The 20,324-nt window shown below is 39.3% G+C and overlaps 1 protein-coding gene and 1 pseudogene across 12 annotated transcripts in view; one reads left to right on the top strand and one right to left on the bottom strand.

Moving 5' to 3' along the window:
• ATP8A1 (ATPase phospholipid transporting 8A1) overlaps positions 1 to 20,324 on the top strand; it is a 248,733-nt gene that overhangs the window by 179,677 nt on the left and 48,732 nt on the right. For 11 of the 12 annotated variants that reach the window (NM_001400027.1, NM_001400026.1, XM_047449508.1 and 8 more), the window contains 2 exons: positions 12,353 to 12,536; positions 12,629 to 12,739. In NM_001400027.1, the coding sequence (NP_001386956.1) occupies positions 12,353 to 12,536; positions 12,629 to 12,739 (295 nt within the window). Of the gene's footprint in view, positions 1 to 12,352; positions 12,537 to 12,628; positions 12,740 to 20,324 lie in introns of those variants that run through there. The other variant, XM_047449511.1, reaches the window with a different exon arrangement.
• RPS7P7 (ribosomal protein S7 pseudogene 7) lies at positions 5,036 to 5,654 on the bottom strand (annotated as a pseudogene).

Here is a 20,324-nt window from a genome sequence, read left to right as displayed (position 1 = left end):
TTGCCACATTATTCCAAAACAACTCTACTAGTGTGCCATCCCAGATCCATGGAATAGAGTTGCTGTTTCCCTACCTTAATAACAATACATAGTATTACTGAATTTATAACTTGGCCAATTTGATGGTTGTGAAATGACGCCTTGTTGTTTTGATTTTAATTTCTCTGATTACTAGAGAGGTTGAACATCTCACAGGAGTATTTACCTTTCTCAGTTTCTGCTTTTGAAATTTATTCATTCACTTATTCATTCAGCAAGTGTTTTTTGAGTGCTCCCTGTGTGCCAGTAACCTTAATAAGTACTAGAAATAGAGCGGTGAACAATGGGAAAAAAATAATCCCAGCCTTCACATCATAGCTGTTGTTCAATAACATCAGTAAATATACACACAAATATTCAAAAGACAATAATTGCTGTGTGTGTGCTTGTGTATGTGTGAATGGTAATAATTGATATATATCAAACAGACATATATAAAATCAGTGGTAATATTGCTATGAAGAAAAGTAGTACGCTGAAGAAGGGAAAGGGATACTGAAATTTCTGTTGGGTTTCTTCTCTTTTTTCCTGCTTGTATATGAGAACTCTTTGTGTATTCTGGACATTGATTTTTTGTTGTTGTTGATTATTGATGTAGCAGGTGTCTTCTAGGCTGGCTCCCTTCTTAATTTTGCCTGTGATACCCTTCCTTAAACAGAAATCATTGGCTTTGACATAGTCAAACTCCACTAATTTTTTCCTTTTATGGTTTGCACTTTTGGGATATAAAGGACTTCCCACTCCTGCATGTTCTTCTGTTAACTTTTTTTTTTTTTTTAATCTCACCCTGTGGCCCAGGCTGGAGTGCGATGGCACGATCTCAGCTGACTGCAACCTCTGCCTCCCAGGTTCAAGCAATTCTTCTGCCTCAGCCTCCCGAGTAGCTGGGACTACAGGCATCCACCACCACGCATGGCTAATTTTTGTATTTTTAGTAAAGATAGGGTTTCACCATATTGGCCAGGCTGGTCTCAAACTCCTGACCTCAAGAGATCCGCCCGACTCAGCCTCAGCCTCCCAAAGTGCTGGGATGACAGGCATGACCCACTGCACCCCGCCTCTTCTGTTAACTTTACAGCTTTAGTTTTTTCATGTAGGTCTTTTACACATATGGAGTTTATTTTTGTATATGCTAGGAAGGAGGGGGGATCCTTTGTTATTCATTTCTGCATCATGAGCAAATTCTTTCAATAGCATTTACTAAACAATCCACTCTTCTTCCCTCTGCTGGTATGCCCTGTGCTGTAGTGCTCAGGAACTGAGGCCAGACTTTCCAGAGCCTAGACTCTACCTCTTAGTAGCTGAACAACAGGTTACTTCTCTGGTTTTAGTATTTTAATCTTTTTTTTTGAGATGGAGTCTCACTCTGTCGCCCAGGCTGGGGTGCAATGGTGTGATCTCAGCTCACTGCAACCTCTGCCTCCCCGGGTTCAAGTGATTCTCCTGCCTCACCCTCCCGAGTAGCTGGGATTACAGGCGCCCGCCACCACACCCAGCTAACTTTTGTATTTTCAGTAGAGACCTATATTTTACCAAGTTGGCCAGGCTGGTCTCAAACTCCTGACCTCAGGTGATCTACCCACCTCGGCCTCCCAAAGCGCTGGGATTACAAGCATGAGCCACCCAGCCCGGCCCTGGTTTTTTAATCTTTAAAATAGAGATAGAAATTGTTCTTCTCATAGAGTTATGAAGAATAAATGAGCTAATACGTGGCACCTATTATTCAAATGTTTGTTGCTCTTATAAATTATATCTAATTTTCTCTTATATAGCCTAATTGAATATTTCAGGTGAAATATATATTTTGCCTGACAGTATATATTATATACTGTCATATATAAAGATTTCTCTCTGACCGTTATGGCCTTTTCTATGTCCTGAATTTTTTTTTTTTTTTTGTCTGATATTTAATTTGCTAACCTGGCTTTCCTTTGTTTCATTATGTGTCTTGTCTTTTGTTTTTTCTCCAAATCCTTATGTTCAATCCTTCTGTATAATATAGTGGTTAACAATGCTGTGTCTGTCCAGCCTGAGCAACAAAGTAAGACCTTGAGTCTCCAAAAAAATTACAAATTAGCCAGGTGTGGTGGCATACACCTATGGTCCTGAGACAGGAGGATCACTTGAGCCCAGGAGGTCAAGGCTACAATGAGCCATGTTGGCACCACTGCAGTCCAGCCTGGCGACAGAGTGAGACCTTGTTCCAAAAAATAAAAGAATGCTGTGTCTGAATCCACACTGCTTGGGATTGAATCCTAGCTTCATCATTTGCCATTTTACCTTAAACCTTAATAAATATTGTTTGTGCCTTGGATTCCTCGTTTGTAAAATGGTGACAATAATAACTTATGGGATTGTTCTGAGAATTCAATGTGTTGGGTGCAAATAAACATTATATTGTTATTATAATTGTTGCTATATTGGACCTCATTTCTTCCCATTTATTTTGGTTTCCATCTATTATGATTTTGTTTCTTTTTTTTTTCTCCCCCTAACTTTCACTCTCTAGGTCAGATTTTCCTATGCTGGTTTGAAACTTTTGTACTCTATTCTGTGAGGGACCCTTTCCCCTATTGTTTCTAACAGGCATTAATGTCCCTTTGGAGGAACAGCAAAAGCTAGGTCCTGATTAGGTAAATTTGGAGGCAGGGCCCAATCTCAGTTCATTAAATCCCTGTTTTCCCCTAGTGCCTTTACCTGAGCTCTCCTCTTGTTAGAGGCAGCTGCACTCTGATGGAATTCCCCGTGTGAGGTGGCATTCGGGGGTCTGTCAGCACAGCCATATTACTGGCACCTGTCCCTGCCTGGCTCTGTGCCTTCAGGTTGACCAAAAGATCTGGCTTTCCTGTTCCAAGGCATGCGTAGGAATTCTTTCTGCAGTTTTAGCTTTAGGGCACTGAGGATGTACTCCTGGAATTGGAGTGTTTTGTTTTTTAAGCATGTTATTTTGGGTTTGATTTCATAAGCTCCAAACCTAAGCCAAACTCTACAGTTGGAATGAGTGAGGCTCCATCCAGCCCAGTCTCACCCCACTCATGCTGGTCAGCTCAAACAGGGTGCCATGGGCAGGGAACAATGCAGCCAGAAACCTTGCCCATCTGTGTGTTCTTCCATTATCCCTCACATGCCACTCTTTTCCTCCATGCCGCTCAGCTTCTCCCAAGTATTCACCACTTCCTGTCGCCCCAAAGGTTTCTCTTGAATTTGTAGTTGATAATTATGACCCTGAACTTTACTGGCCTCCTTTTTTAACTCCTGACATCTTCAGAGTTGTATTTTAGTTTCTGTCAATAGTCTGTGCGACCAATTGTTCCACCTTCCACTAGGTAGTTTTAAGGTGAGAGAAGGTTCCTTGGAGAAACTTATCCACACAACATAGGAAGGTCATGAGGCAGAGAAGAGCAAGCTGATTTTCTTCCAGCCTAAACAAGCTCTGGGCTGTGCATGATGGCTCACACCTGTAATCCTAGCACTTTGGGAGGCTGAGGTGGAAGGATTGCTTGAGGCCAGGAGTTCGAGACCAGCCTGGGCAGCATAGTGAGACTCCATCTCTACAAAAAAAAAAAAAACACAAAAATTAGCCATGCATGGTGGCGTACATTTTTAGTCCCAGCTACTCGGGAGGCTGAGGTAGGAGGATCACTTGAGCCCAAGAGGTTGAGGCTACAGTGAGCCAAGATTGTGCCACTGCATTCCAGCCTGGGCGACAGAGCAAGACCTCATCTCAAAAAATTAATTTATCAATTTAATTAAATAAATAAAAAAACTTTATCCCTTCCTTACCTCCCCAGAGTCATAGGAAAAGAGATCACAGGGCATGTGTGCTCCAGTCAGACACTGGGAATGGGAAGGGAATGGAGGCCACTCTGAGACCAAGCTCACAACAGGGTAGAGCTGAAAGGGGAAGCACTCTAGGCCTTCTTGAATAGAAGTGCTTCCCAGTTGAGAGCACACCAGTCCCATTGGCAAGGCTCCCTAAATAGAGAGGTGGCATGGCGTTGATCCATGCAGGAAAAATTTCTGTCTCTTCAGAGCAGGTGTACAGAGAGGGACTACTATCATATAGGCTGTCAATATTTAACTCCCGGGACAGTACCTCAATAAAAGTCCTTAAATTAATAACTCTTGGGGGCAGAAGAAAGATCCTGAGATCTGCTTTATTCTCCTTGTGTTCTTCCGCAGAGCTTTAATCACATACTAAAGGATCACTTAATACTTAAGTAAATACTTGAATCAATGACACCTGGAGGCACATTCCCAACTCTACACTCTTTTCCAAGTCCAATTCCAACTTTTCAGTCAGCATGCTTAAATGAGTCTGCCAGAGTATCCCACTACTATCTAAACTTCTGAGTATCTAGAACTTCCCTGATACTTTTCCGCTGTCAATATTCTTCTTGCCTTTTCCATTTACGTTTAGACCCTCATTCTCCCAGTAACCCAAATTTGAAACCTCAGGGTCATTTTTGAAACCACTTTTATTTGGGGCCCTCTGTGTTTTTATTTTCATTTTCATTGTCCTTTTCCTAGATCATATTCAGATATATATAAAACATACTTTGGTCAATCCAAATTAATGTTTTTAGGAACTGCCTCAACCATGCTCTTTTTTTTCTTTTTCTCTCTTTTTTTTTTTTTTTTTGAGACAGTCTCGCACTGTCACCTGAGCTGGAGTGCGATGGCGCGATCTCAGCTCACTGCAACTGCAACCTCCATCTCCCAGGTTCACGCAATTCTCCTGGCTTAGCATCCCGAGTAGCTGGGATTATGGGCGCACATCACCACACTCAGCTAATTTTTTTTTGTATTTTTAGTAGAGACAGGTATGTTGGCCCGACTGGTCTTGAACTCCTGACCTCGTGATCCGCCCACCTCGGCTTCCCAAAGTGCTGGGATTACAGGCGTGAGCCACTGCTCCTGGCCAAATTTCTCTTTCTTGTAACATTTCCATTTATTTGGTTCCACTACCTTTTTTTTTTTTTAACTGTGAATTTACTAGCCATTTTTGTTTACAATGGAAACTCTGGGAATTCAAAATTAACATCCTCGCCTGTGAGCTGCTTATAGACACCAGAAAAAGTTTCAGCCTTGCTTTCCATGTTGTTCTCCTATGCTTTGTCCAAATGAACCTTTATGAGCCGGCTGTCATCCAGTTTCACACAGATTCTCTTGCCCACAATTTCACTTGGGAAGATCAAGTCCTCAAGAATTGTGTCATATACAGCTCCTAGGATGTTTTTGCTTATTTTTTGTATGGCTTTTTCAAGCTGGCTTAGGCAGAATTCTCCTCTGAGCAATAAAGACAGCATGCTTCCCACTGAACTTTTTCTCCAATTCACGTACTAGCCAGAGTTGGATTTTCTGGAAAGATTTCAGTTGAGGAACAGGAACAAAGATTATGATAGCTTTCTGGACACCACCAACTTAGGCTCTTTGGCTGCTGTAATACTCAGCTTCCTGAGCTGAGCCTTGAGGTCCGAGTTTATCTCCAGCTCCAGAAGAGCCTGAAAGATGCCGGACTCTTAACTCGTTTGGCGTCTCGCTGTTGGGCTTCACAGTCTTGGTGCTTGAAATGAACATGGCCTTCTCCTTGCTAAGCGCCAGCCTAGGAAGAGCTTGCTACCATTTTTAATTCTGCCTTGTGCTGAGTACAGTGCTAGGTTCAATATAACTAGATGATATTTTCTGAAGAGAAAATGAACAGCAATATTGTAGATAAACTAAGCTTTCTTGTGTGAACACCATAATAAATATCTATACTAGGCGGAGTTCTCTTTTTAGTGCCTTTCATAGGTCTATTTGCTAATTAGTGCACACATGCACATACATGCATAATCAAATACACACCATCAATAGAAACGGTCCCTATTTAAACTACTTATCTGAATCATTGAAGCAGAAGGCAGTACGTTTACCTATAACCACATAAATTCTACAAAAGAGAGGTTTTATATCTAAAATGCATTGCAGAAAGGAAATCTTTTTTAAATTTGCTTTCCTTTTTTGTCCTATGGAAAGGCTATCTGTATTTTATTTCTGTAGACTCAGTCTCTATATTGTAAGGTCTCCTGAATGCCTATGACTGCACAGTATATCAACAGATGTTGGTTTTGGAGGCTAGGAGAGCTCTCACTCATCAGTCATTTGAATAGCGCACTTCTAGGTAAGAAGTGGTTGAATGTTTCATTATGTACCATATTGCTAAGTATCATTTTTAAGACTTGCTATGTAAGCTGCTGTTTTCATTCCAAGTAACAAGTTGATGGTGAGCTTCTAGAGGAGTTAACAATATTTTGTAGTTTTTGTACATCAGGTTTTTTTTTGCTGTATCTTAATTTTTTCTCAATGTGAAATTTTATAAATGAACCTGCCAAATTTTAGTTCAGAAGGATTCAAGTAAGATCTTCTAGTTTACGTTTTTCTCTCCTTTTGTAATTTCTGTAAATAGTCAACAAAATATGAGTCAGTTGGAAATACACTGATATTCACAGGAGAAATCTTAGGAAGTTTGTTGCAAAGAAAAGCACAGCAGATCCCCTCACTAATGATTCTGACCTCTAAATAGGCACCTGGAGCAGACCTCAAATTTAAAGTTTGAGGAAGTTAAAGAAATTTAGTAAATACTGGGCTTGGTCACTATATAAAACACTTCAGGAGAACTAGAAAATACTATGTTCCTTCATATTCTTCTAAAAAGTTTTCTAGATTTACCTTCTAAAGGCAACTTCATAGTAATTTTTAAGTTTCCAGTATAAGTCTTTGAGATCATATTATATTATCAGTATAATTTTGTGTATATGTAAGAATTTTTTAGGTTATTAATCCCAAAACACAATCCAGTGGATAAATTATTGTATTCCTTTTGGCTACCTATAAAAAATTCCTTAAATTATCCTTTATTATACATCTATTATATATATGTACATATATTCTTCATATTTCATTTAGAAAGGTGATTCATTTAGCTAATCCCATTAAGAGTGCAAAACAAGCTTCATGTAAGATGGACCACCTATATACTTCTTAGCTTAAATGGTAAAAATTTCCAGTGCTCTGATCTAACGTTCACAGGGCAGTGAGAGTTACTGCATAGAAAATAAGAAAAATAATGAATAACATGTGCAGAAACTACAGCCAAAATAATATCTGAAAAGCATATTGCACTCAGTGCACGTCTAGGTTGTATCAGAAAGGACCACCCTCTGTTTGTGGAGCCACAGGGAAGAGAAAGGGACGTTTACAGTACACATTGGATACGTAGTCTTTTTCCATGGAGTCTCTTCTACCAAAGAAGAAAAAGCAACGGTGGAACAGAAGATAACTGTGAATAATTTAAATCCTGGATGCAGACCCACAAATGGTTAAAATAAAACAATCTCAGGGAAGAAAACAGTGCCTTTATGATGTTTCAGAATTATACGTTGAGTCACTATTGGCATTTGTTTAGGTTTTAGATATTCTCAGCCATGGATATGTGATTTTTTTTATAGACATAGGAAGAATTAAGTTGTTGTGTGGTAAGGTAGTTCTAGACTCATGGAAATTGTATGAATCTAGAAGCAAGTGTACTGACAATCAAGAAAGTAAATAAACTCTGAGTAGAGTAATCTTTTAACAGGTGGAGACACAGCAGTAGAAAATAATATATTCTGGAGAATTTTGAGTGTGAAGTTAAAATTTATTATGTGCTATTTCTGTTACCTGAAGTGAACTCTCCTCTCCTTTCAAAGGCCAAGTCAAATTCTAACTTATCAAGGGAGGCCTCTTAAAGCCCATGTTGATTTCTGAAATTATCAAAGAGGGGCAATCATATCAAAGCTTTATGCTACATTCATTTTTAATGTCTTATAATTTTGTTTTGCTATATTGTAACCCCCTTGTAGCAAGGAACCATTTTTTAAATGGATGCTATAAAAATAGTGGATCTTTTTTACTGACTTCAGCTTGACAAACCTGAATCCCTTTCAGCCACATTCCTTCCCTACAGCCTTCTGCCAGGTACTCACAGCACACTATGCTCACACCCAGAGGCTCTTGGGTGTGTACATGCTCTTCGGCTTCCATGAATTGACTTGGTGCATTGTAAGTGGGGCTCGTTCCCTAGTATGTTTATTCCTGTTGTACTTCTTGAAATAATCATTTAATTAAATATCTCATAACTTCATTCAAATAACTGAGTAAAAATTATTGCTAGTAAATCCAGGTATAATGCTCTAAAAGACTTTTTGAGTTGCTAAAAAATATTGCTGTCAAATTTTGGAGTAAACTAACTATAAACTGGGGTAAAAGGAATCAGTACATTCTGGTCTCCATTTTAGTGAGGCAAACCATTGACTATGCCTGAGTGAGATTTCTGCTACAAAAACATGCAGTTTCAAACAGCAGACCCCTATGCAAAGTAAGGTTCTTTGACCTGCATCACAGTTTGTACATTTATATTTTGAGTTAAATATTTTAAGAATGTATATTTTATTTTGTATGAATCTCCACTTAAATCTGACATCTTTGTTTAGCAACCAACTGATGTTTCAGAATCATAAGAAAAGGCTTCCATTATGTCTTTTGTTTTAATTTTTTATTTCCATAGGTTTTGAGGGAACAGGTAGTATTTGGTTACATGAATAAGTTCTTCAATGGTGATTTGTGAGATTTTGTGTACCCATCACCCGAGCAGTATACACTGTACCCAATTTGTAGTCCCCCTCCCACCCTTTCCCCTGAGTCCCCAAAGTCCATTGTATCATTCTTATGCCTCTTCATCCTCACAGCTTAACTCCCACATATGAGTAAGAACATACAATGTTTGTCCATTCCTGAGTTACTTCACTTACAATAATAGTCTTCAGTTCCATCCAGGTTGCTATGAATGCCATTCATTCATTCCTTTTATGGTTGAGTAGTATTCCATCTCATTCATATATGTGTATGTGTGTGTCTGTGTGTGTGTGTGTGTGTGTGTATAAAATATATAAAATATGTATATATAAAATATATACACACACATACATATATATACACACATACCACAGTTTCTTTATCCGCTTGTTGATTGATGGGCATTTGGGCTGGTCCCATATTTTTGCAATTGCAAATTGTGCTGCTATAAACATGCATGTCCCAGTAGCTTTTTTGTATAATGACTTATTTTCCTCTGGGTAGATACCCCATAGTGGGATTGCTGGATCAAATGGTAGTTCTACTTTTAGTTCTTTAAGGAATCTCCACACTGTTTTCCATAGTGATTATACTAGTTTACATTCCCACCAGCGGTGTAGAAGTGTTCCCTGATCACCGTATCCACACCAACATCTATTCTTTTTTGATTTTTTTATTATGGCCATTCTTGCAGGAGTAAGGTGGTATCGCATTGTGGTTTTGATTTGCATTTCTAAAGAGCTTCTGCACAGCAAAAGGATCAGTCAGCAGAGTAAACAGACAACCCACAGAGTGGAAGAAAATCTTCACAATCTGTATATCCAACAAAGAACAAATATCCAGAGTCTACAAGGAACTCAAACAAATTAGCAAGAGAAAAAACAATCCCATCAAAAAATGGGCTAAGGACATGAATAAACAATTCTCAAGATATACAGATGGCCAACAAACATATGAAAAAATGCTTGACATCACTAATGGTCAGGGAAATCCATTATGTCTTCAATCTTATTCCAAGAGGGTCATCCACTTTTGTTTTCCCGAGATGGAGTCCCGCTCTGTCACCCAGGCTGGAGTGCAGTGGCGCCATCTCAGCTCACTGCAACCTCCACTTCCTGGGTTCAAGCGATTCTCCTGACTCAGCTTCCCGAGTAGCTGGGACTACAGGCACGCGCCCCTATCCCTAGCTAATTTTTTGTATTTTTATTTGAGATTGGATTTTACCATGTTGCCCAGGCTGGTCTCGATCTCCTGACCTCGTGATCCGCTCACCTCAGCCTCCCAAAGTGCTGGAATTACAGGCATGAGCCACTACGCCCAGCCAGTCATCCACTTTTAAAGCTTGGTAATGGAAGCAGATGCTCTGGCTAGTAGCAGCTGCAGTGTGCTTTTGAAATGTCTCTCACTATATCATTTTCTTTTTTCTTAAATGGGCATTGTTGCTAAGGGCAATCCTACTCTTTAACACCTCATTTAACCATACAGAATTGAATGAAAATCCTCAGCCAATTTTAATTTGGGTGTTGAAAATTACAGTATCAAGCAGAGAAAGCAGTGGTTGGTTGTGATCACCATGAAGAAAACTAAATTTAGTCCAACTCTTTTCTGATGCTTTTTAAAAATCACTAATGTCAGCTCACCTTGCAGAGATTTCTCCTTTATTACAAGTTTAGTTATGGAAAAAGTACCACTGTTTCCTAGTTCTGTTGAACCCTTGGTGTAACTTCATAATGTATTCATACTGTTAGACTATTAAAGAGAATTTGATAAAGCTTTCAAATGCTTCTCTCTATTCATGCCCATTTCCCATTCTAGATCATTTATTGGTGAGCATTCCTTTTTGACATTTACTAAATGTCAACTATAGTCCAGGTTTAAACATTGGCCTACAGCCAGTGGACTTACCAGTTTATATTAGCCTGGTAAGAAAAATTAAATAAAATGTGAAAATGAAATGAAAATTGCTTTGAAGAAAAATCAAGCTAACAGTGAAATAGCCTGCTAATGGCCTGATAGGCATTCATTTCCTTGCTGAGTTCACAGTTGTGTCATTTTGTACTATTGCCAGACTGTAAAAGGAAATCCAAAGAAAAAATTAAAAATGGTTTTTTCGTATAGCAACCATGTATTGAGTATCTATTTTGGATCAGGCACTAAAAATACAAAGAAGAGGAGACCAATTGACTTTACAGGCAGCTCACAGTCTAATGCAATGATTCTCAGACTTGAAATAAAAACCAGAGCTGCTCTGGCTGAAGCAGTTCATAAGGGCAGTGGGGCCTCCTGAAGGCACATATTTGTGCAGAGTATCTACCACTAAAAATTTTTCCTATGGAATGATCAGGAAAATGGACAAAGTTGTATCGATTCTCTCAAAGTGGTGATCTTCATTTTTAAATAGAATAGTAAATGATTTTTCAGATGTTTTAGCAGATATTTATTATTAGTCATCTATGCCACATAACCTTGATAAATAATTTAGCTCTGAGATGTTTTTCTTGTTTGAACATTGTGTACATAAGTTGTTTCTTACTATCTAATTATTAGCTTAACTGTTTGTTAGAACAATTTATTGTGTAGTTTTCCTGTCTTTCTCTATAGTTTCCAATACAGTGTAGACAGTGTGTTATGCATTCTGTCTTTGAACCCTTCTGTCCTTGTCCTAGTGTTTATTCCTTTTTTTTTTTTTTTTTTTTTTTTTTTGAGACGGAGTCTTGCTCTGTCGCCCAGGCTGGAGTGCAGTGGCACGATCTCGGCTCACTGCAAGCTCCGCCTCCTGGGTTCACTCCATTCTCCTGCCTCAGCCTCCCAAGTAGCTGGGACTACAGGCGCCCGCCACCACGCCCGGCTAATTTTTTGTATTTTTAGTAGAGACGGGGTTTCACCGTGTTAGCCAGGATGGTCTCAATCTCCTGACCTCGTGATCCACCTGCCTTGGCCTCCCAAAGTGCTGGGATTACAGGCATGAGCCACCTCACCCGGCCAGTCCTAGTGTTTATTTCTTAAATGGCTTTAGAAAGTCTGTGAAAAGTAACTCCAAATCTAATACCAGATATGATTTTAATAGAGATACTGGTGTTTTCTGTTCCTGGTCCACATTTGTATAAGAGGTTGCTTGATTTTTACTTGACCCTTAGTGGCTTTGGAAGAAAATGAAGCCCATGAACTATAATCAGATACTTGGCATTTTCCATGGTGTCTGAGAATTAATTTAAGTAGAGTTTTAAGTGTATAGTACATTATCTAAGATCAGATTGCAGAAGCTCAAAACTTTTACTTTCCAGCTACTATGTAGGATTTAGTTAGTGTTTGGCAGCATTTATGACATTGTTTTTAATTTGTAAGTGAAGAATTAGAAATTCTGATGTTTGTTAGGAAGTAAAGGCATTCTGGCAGGCTAATGTTTAACAAAGCATTCTCTCTTCTAGATGTCACCTAGGGGTTTGCCTCTGAGGCTTGTTTTTATTTATTTTAATTTTCCTTAATACAGTAACCAGGTTAACAGATGAGTAAACATTTGCAAACCTAAAACTTTATCATAAGGTTTCTTCAGAGAACTATTCATTTAGGTCTTTTGCATCTTTTATCCTTCAACACGATGGCATTTCAAAATTCCTTTTTTCAGAAAACAGTAATTGATAATGTGTTTCAATTTCAGGGTTTCTCCTCTTCAAAAATCTGAAGTTGTTGAGATGGTTAAGAAACAAGTCAAAGTCGTAACGCTTGCAATCGGTGATGGAGCAAATGATGTCAGCATGATACAGACAGCGCACGTTGGTGTTGGTATCAGTGGCAATGAAGGCCTGCAGGCAGCTAATTCCTCTGACTACTCCATAGCTCAGGTAAAGCGTCATTTCTGCAAAACACATCATTCCTCTCAGTCAACTGATGCTTTGAAAAGGAAAATACTAATTTTTTCCCACTCTTGTTTTAGTTCAAATATTTGAAGAATTTACTGATGATTCATGGTGCCTGGAACTATAACAGAGTCTCCAAGTGCATCTTATACTGCTTCTACAAGAATATAGTGCTCTATATTATCGAGGTAATAGCAGGTTAAATTTTAAATCCTTGTCATTTGCATACATATTTAAAGAAATTTTCTTTATGGAGACGTTTTCTCATGGTTTTAATTAATATTTTATTTGCCAACTCTTTATAAATTCTAAATGTATTAAAACAAAAAGGTGGCCTGTAATCCCAGCACTCTGGGAGGCCGAGATAGGCGGATCACTTGAGGTCGGGAGTTCGAGACCAGCTTAGCCAACATGGTGAAACCTCGTCTCTACTAAAAATACAAAAATTAGCCAGGCGTGGTAGCAGGCACCTGTAATTCCAGCTACTAGGAGGCTAAGGCAGGAGAATCACTTGAACCCAGGAGGCAGAGGTTGTGGTGAGCTGAGATTGTGCCACTGTCCTCCAGCCTGGGCAACAGAGTGAGACTCCACCCCAAAAAAAAAAAAAAAAAAGTTTGTCAGCCATGGAGAATTATGTTTAAATTCTAGCTAAAAATGTTATGTTGCTTTGATAAGAAGTGTTGAATTAGAGATGCTAATGAGATAATAATGTATTTAATGTAAAAAATACATTATTAATAATGTATAAAAGTCTATAAACTTGACTGCATTTTTAATAAAGCTCAAAAACATGCAAAAGAAAGCAATACACCATGGAGGGATAACACACATGTAGAAAAGCTATTTTTTAAAAAAGGTGAGGGAATGAGAAACATCAACTGAAGCTAGCACCTCTAATTCTGGGAGGAGACAAAGAAGTGCAATCAGGAAGAATATGCAGGTAGCTTTGCTGGTATTGTTGCCTTGTTGTTCCTATTATGTTTCAAAACTTAGATCTTTGTTACATACAAGCATCCCTCTCTATCCAGATCTGTTTTTGTTTCCGTGTTTGGTGAGTAGCAAGAGTTCAGATGATGAAAAATTTGTCTAAAAATTATCAGAATATTTAGTTTCTGTCTGGATAGCAAGGGATTTCTATAATCCGTTTTATGTGTCAAACATAACATCATTTTAAAAATGAAAACCTGAGTCAGGAATACCACTTTTAAAAGGATGCATTTTGTTCTGTAAACAATTTTGTAGCACCTACTGAGCCCAGACACCAGGCTTAGTCCAACAACTACAAAGTAAATCAAGCATGGTTCCTGTCCTCCAGGAACTTGCTGTATTACTGTTCTCACACTGTGGATAAAGACATACCCAAGGCTGGGCAATTTACAAAAGGAAGAGGTTTAATGGACTTACAGTTCCACATGGCTGGGGAGGCCTCACAATCATGGAGGAAGGCAAGGAGGAGCGAGTCGCATCTTACATGGATGGCAGTGGGCAAAGAGAGCTTGTGCAGGGGAACTCCTCTTTATAAAACCATCAGACCTCAAGATGGTTATTCACTATCACGAGAACATCACAGGAAAGACTTGCCCCCATGATTCAATTACCTCCCACTGGGTCCCTCCCACAACACATGGGAATTCAAGATGAGATTTGAGCCAAACCATATCATTCTGCCCCTGGCCCCTTCCAAATCTCATGTCTTCACATTTCCAAACCAATCATTCCTTCCCAACAATACCCTAAAGTCTTAACTCATTTCAGCATTAGTTCAGAAGTCCACAGTCCAAAGTCTCATCTGAGACAAGGCAAGTCCCTTCCGCCTATGAGCCTGTAAAATCAAAAGCAAGTTAGTTACTTCCTAGATCCAATGGATGTACAAGCAATGGGTAAATACAGCTACTCCAAGTGAGAGAAACTGGCCAAAATAAAGGGACCACAGGCCCCAGGCAAGTCCGAAATCCAGCAGGGCAGTAAAACCTTAAAGCTCCAAAATGATCTCCTTTGACTCCACGTCTCACATCCAGGTCAAGCATGCAAGAGGTAGGGTCCCATGGTCTTGGGCCGCTCTGCCCCGTGGCTTTACAGGATACAGCCTCCCTCCCAGCTGCCTTCACAGGCTGGCATCAGGTGCACAATGCAGTCAGTGGATCTACCATTCTGAGGTCTGGAGGACAGTGGCCCTCTTCTCACAGCTCCACTAGGTGGTGCCCCAGGGGGAACTCTGTGTGGGGGCTCTGACCTCACATTTTCCTTCTCCACTGCCCTAACAGTGGTTCGCCATGAGAGCCCTGCCCCTGCAGCAAACTTATGCCTGGGCATCCAGGCATTTCCATACATCTTCAGAAATCTAGGCAGAGGTTCCCAAACCCCAGTTCTTGACTTTTGTGCACTCTCAGGCTCAACACCACATGGAAGCTGCCAAGGCTTGGGGCTTGCACCCTGTGAAGCCACTGCCCGAACTCTATGTTGGCCCCTTTCAGCCATGTCTGGAGCAACTGGGATGCAGAGCACCAAGTCTCTTGGCTGCACACAGCACGAGTGTACCCTGGGCCTGGCCCAGAAAACCACTTTTTCCTTGTAGGCCTCTGGGCCTGTGATGGAAGGGGCTGCCATGAAAACTCTGACATACCCTGGAGACATTTTCCCCGTTGTCTTGAGGATTAACATTTGGCTTCTCATTACTTAGGCGAATTTCTGCAGCCTGCTTCCATTTCTCCTCAGAAAATGAGATTTTTCTTTTCTATTGCATTGTCAGGCTGCAAATTTTTTGAACTTTTATGCTCTGCTTCCCTTACAAAACTGAATGCCTTTAACAGCACCCAAGTCACCTCTTGAATGCTTTGCTGCTTAGAAACTTCTTCCACCAGATACTCTAAATCATCTCTCTCAAGTTCAAAGTTCCACAGATCTCTAGGGAAGGGGCAAAATGCTGCCAGTCTCTTTGCTAAAACATACCAAGAGTCGCCTTTGCTCCAGTTACCAGCAAGTTCTTCATCTCCATCTGAAACCACCTCAGCCTGGATCTTATTGTCCATAGCATTATCAGCATTTTGGTCAAAGCCATTCAACAAGTCTCTAGGGAGTTCCAAACTTTCGCACGTTTTCTTGTCTTTTTATGAGCTCTCCAAACTCTTCCAACCTCTGCCTGTTACCCAGTTCCAAAGTCACCTCCATGTTTTTGGGTATCTTTTCAGCAGCACCCCACTCTACTGGTACCAATTTATTGTATTAGTCTGTTCTCACGCTGCTGATGAAGACATACCCAAAACTGGGCAATTTACAAAAGAAAGAGGTTTAATGGACTTACAGTTCCACATGGCTGGGGATGCCTCACAATCATGATGGAAGGCAAGGAGGAACAAGTCACGTCTTACATGGGTGGCAGCAGGCAAAGCAAGAGAACTTGTGCAGGGGAACTCCCCTTTTCAAAACCATCAAATCTCTTGAGACTTATTCACTATCACAAGAACAGCATTGGAAAGACTTGGCCCCATGACTCAATTACCTCCCACCAGTCCCTCCCACAACACATGGGAATTCAAGATGAGATTTGGCTGGGGACACAGCCAAACCATATCACTTGCCAACAGAAATACAATGCAAGCCACATTAGCAAAAAGCAAAAAAAAAAAAAAGAAAGAAAAAATTGATCTCAGTATATTTTATCTAGCTCAATGTATTCAAAAGATTATCATTGTCACCTGTAATCACTGTCAAAAATTATTAATGAGACATTTTACATCCTTCATCCTAAGTTTTCAAAATCTGGAGTATATTTTACATTTATACCACGTCTCAATTTGGACTAATCACATTTAAGTGTTCAAGAGCACGTGTGGCCAGTCTCTACCATGCTGGGCAGCACAGCAGTGGTAGATAAATAAGTGAACTGAATGGTTAATCAAGGCATGATAAATATGTTATTTGCCTTTTTTTAAAAAGTTGCCTTCTTATTGTCAGAAGCTATATGTGTAGTAATTCTAGGTGTTATCAGTTTCATGTCCCTGTTGGAGCTCTGCAGATCATGACAATGGCCTTCCCATTGTTAAGAAAACCTCATTCTCCCACTCCTGTCAAGGACCCACCATGGTCTCATAAATCTGCTGAGGGTTCCCTTACAGATAGATGTTTGTTTCTGCCACTTTACCATTTAATCTGTTGACTGTTTCTACACGTCTGTCAAAAAAGATACAGCCAGGCTGGGTGCGTTGGCTCACGCCTGTAATCCCAGCACTTTGGGAGGCTGAGGCGGGCAGATCACAAGGTCGGGAGTTCGAGACCAACCTGGCCAACATGGTGAAACCCCGTCCCTACTAAAAATACAAAAAATTAGCTGGGCATGGTGGCAGTTGCCTGTAATCCCAGCTACTTAGGAGGCTGAGGCAGGAGACTCATTTGAACCAGGGAGGCAGAGGTTGCAGTGAGCCAAGACTGTGCCACTGCACTCCAGCCTGGGCAACAAAGCAAGACTCCATCTCAGAAAAAAAAAAAAAAAAAAAAAAAAGATCCATCCATTTGCTATATGGAAATCATATTCTATCCTTTACTCTGAGAAGTAACAGTATAAACAAAGTCAGTACGTTGACACTTTCGTTGGGGGCTGGTGTATATTTGCTTCACCTGTTCTTTGTGCCTCTGTCAGAATGCTTATCTCCTTGTTAAATGTTGACTGAGCATAGTTCTTATTATGAGTCAGGCTAGTAAAATTGAAACTTAGTTTTGAAGTGTACAGGCAGTTTGGTGTAATGGTCACTAAAAAGGTTACAACCTATTAGATAAAATAACCTAATACAGGCCAGGCGCAGTGGCTCACGCCTGTAATCCTAGCACTTTGGGAGGCCGAGGGGGGTGGATCACGAGGACAGGAGATCGAGACCATCCTGGCTAACATGGTGAAACTCTGTCTCTACTAAAAATACAAAAAATTAGCCAGGCGTGGTGGCAGGCGCCTGTAGTCCCAGCTACTTGGGAGGCTGAGGCAGGAGAATGGCGTGAACCCGGGAGGTGGAGCTTGCAGTGAGCAGAGACCACGCGCCATTGCACTCCAGCCTGGGTGACAGAGCGAGACTCTGTCTCAAAAAAATAAATAAATAAAAATTAAAAAAATAACCTAATATGTGGAAATATAAACAAGATACGTAAATGAACTTACTCGTTCATTACTGCTAGATTTGGTCTGGAATAGTGTGTGTTTTGAAGCAAAATGCACTTCTAAAATAGTTTATAAGATTCAAAAAAATATTCTTTGTTGTTTATATAAATGTGTAGTTCTTTTCTAAAGTAATTATTTTTCTATTCTCAATCCCTTCTATATATCTAGCTTTTCTATTTATATGTTCTTCTCATTCCAGAACACTGACATTCAAGCAAATAACAATTTATACAGTTTATTTACATAGATTTATCAAGATACCAGGAATTTAAAGCCACTGCCAGCAATAAATCTGCTTATAAAAAGTTAATTTTATAAAATAAGAATGTCCAACTTGTCGCTTTTTAAATCTAAATTGACAGCAATAAAGTAGACAAAATTTATGTACTAATGAGAAAATAAAAACATTAAAATCAAATGAAAACAATCTTCATGCCCTGTCCTGTTTCAAACCCAGAATTATGTGATTTGTGGTTGATTAACCCTAAACTTCACTTGCCTTTGATTTTAAAACCTGTTCATGAGATATTTGACACTGATCAAATTCTTTACACAGTGAAAAGGAAGTGAGTTCTAAACTTTACTGGAAATCTCATTTTTATTTTTCTCAAGAGTTTGTGGAAATGTATTTTGAATATGATTCAACTGTCTTGGTAATGACCTTTTAAATCAATTCCCAGATACCCAACTTTTGCCAGCTAAAACAAGTTCTGCAGATGTTAATGGCTCATGTCAATACTGTGAATGAATAGACAGAAAACACATCATTGAATGTCTCTAGTGAGGACAACTGCCAGTCTCGAATCTCTCCTTTCAGTTTTTTGTGCTGATCAGGCGTGGGAGCAGAGGACTCATTGACTGTTTGTAAGCTGCTGTTTAATATGCAGAAATGCTCCATCAGGAAAATGAATGTGAAGCTTTAGCTGCCACGCCTCTACTGGGAGGTGGAATTTAGAAAATAATGCCAGGAGAAGCAGGTCTGAAATTTCTATGCTAATAAAGGAATAGTCTTGAACACTATGTGTTTTATAGATTTAAAACTACAAACACTGCTTTTCTCCTTGCTATATTGCTTAGGAAAGTCACTATCTAGATATTCCATTGCTGTAAATTACAGCCAGACGAATACAGATTTGGCAGATGGTGGTATAAAGCTCTTTCTTACAGGAGCTGCCCAGGAGCAGCTCTAGGTGTTCATTTAAATTATTGGCTCCTTTTAAAGAGAGATTTTTTTTTATTTCTCTGATATGTCTGACTCCTTCCTCATAAAATAAGACCTTTCCTTTCAAATGATTGGTCACATCCAAGTTTTCTGGGAAGATCTCAAAACCAAGTTGTGTTTCTAATTTCCAGAAGCTTTGATAAAAGTCAATAAGGTGATACTGTCCCAGCAAGTGGTGCTGGGAGTTGAATTCCCTGTGAATTTAAATAAACTAGACACCTCCCCAGAGGGACCGGTGTTTTCTTTCTGAATCTGTGGCTCTGGTTGAATTAGAGGAGGTACTTTTATGTGTTTGGGATAATTTAGATGTTGTTTTATTTTGCACGGGATATGTTCCCAATATTAACTACAATCTCAGCCTAACTTGAAATCGGCCTGCTGGTAGGCTACTTCACTGTTAAAGACCTTCTCTTTCTCCTTTAAGATATGTAAACTTGAATATTAAAATATTAGAGTGAAAATCTAAGGTACTCTATTGAAAGTTTCTGTTCTTACCTAGTCATTTCTTCTTTAAAAATAAATTAAAATGTTAACCCTTAAAAATCCAGGAAATACATTTTCTAAAAACATGTTCACCTACCTTTCAGTAGGAAAAATAAAATGATAAAAATGTGTTGATACCTTTCCACTTAAAAATTGTCGTAAAGTATAAAGCAGGTCATGCATTTTAAAATACACTTTGGAAACAAACATGTTAGTTTACTTGCAAATTATTTCAAATTTGAAACTTACTGTAAATATTGATTTGAGGGAGAATCTTAAATTTCAAGCTCGTAGTAGCCTTTGAATCAGCACCAAATATTAGGTACACAGAAGCTAGGGGACCATTCGTATTTACTAATGTTTGCCCACATATAAACTTACTAACATAAACTTCTCATTGTACGGTATTGATGATTGCAAATGCATTTAGAACTACAACTTTTGAGCCAAATCTTGTCCGTTAGACGAATTTGGTATGCAGAGCGCTTCGGCTTTCTTCAGACCAACAAAGGTTAGACTGTGTCTTCATAGATTAGAGAGGCCATAATTGGAAGTTTGTTTTGAAATTCCTTATATTTCCATCATACCTTAAGAAATCTGAAAGAGCTTTTTAGAATGAATTACTACAATAGATCACAGTTGCCTTCATGGAAAATAGCCCCATCACTCTGAGTATCCCAAATATGTATTTACATAATCCACATCTCAGGCCAAATGTGAAAACACAATAGAGAGCATTAATGTCTGTTTTGTCAATTTGTGTATACTCACCAGGAAAGAATAAACTTCACTTCATGTGAAGATGCTCAGTTCTTTTAAAGTTTGCATGCATCAATGATCTGGCTGTTTGTTTAGGGCAAATTATCAAAAATTTTCCATAAATATGTGTAGCAAAGCAAGTAAGAATTTCAGATTTGACTCT

Source organism: Homo sapiens, chromosome 4 (genome assembly GCF_000001405.40).
Source record: "Homo sapiens chromosome 4, GRCh38.p14 Primary Assembly".
Classification (NCBI taxonomy): Eukaryota; Metazoa; Chordata; class Mammalia; order Primates; family Hominidae; genus Homo; species Homo sapiens.
This window is presented reverse-complemented; position numbering and strand designations above follow the sequence as displayed.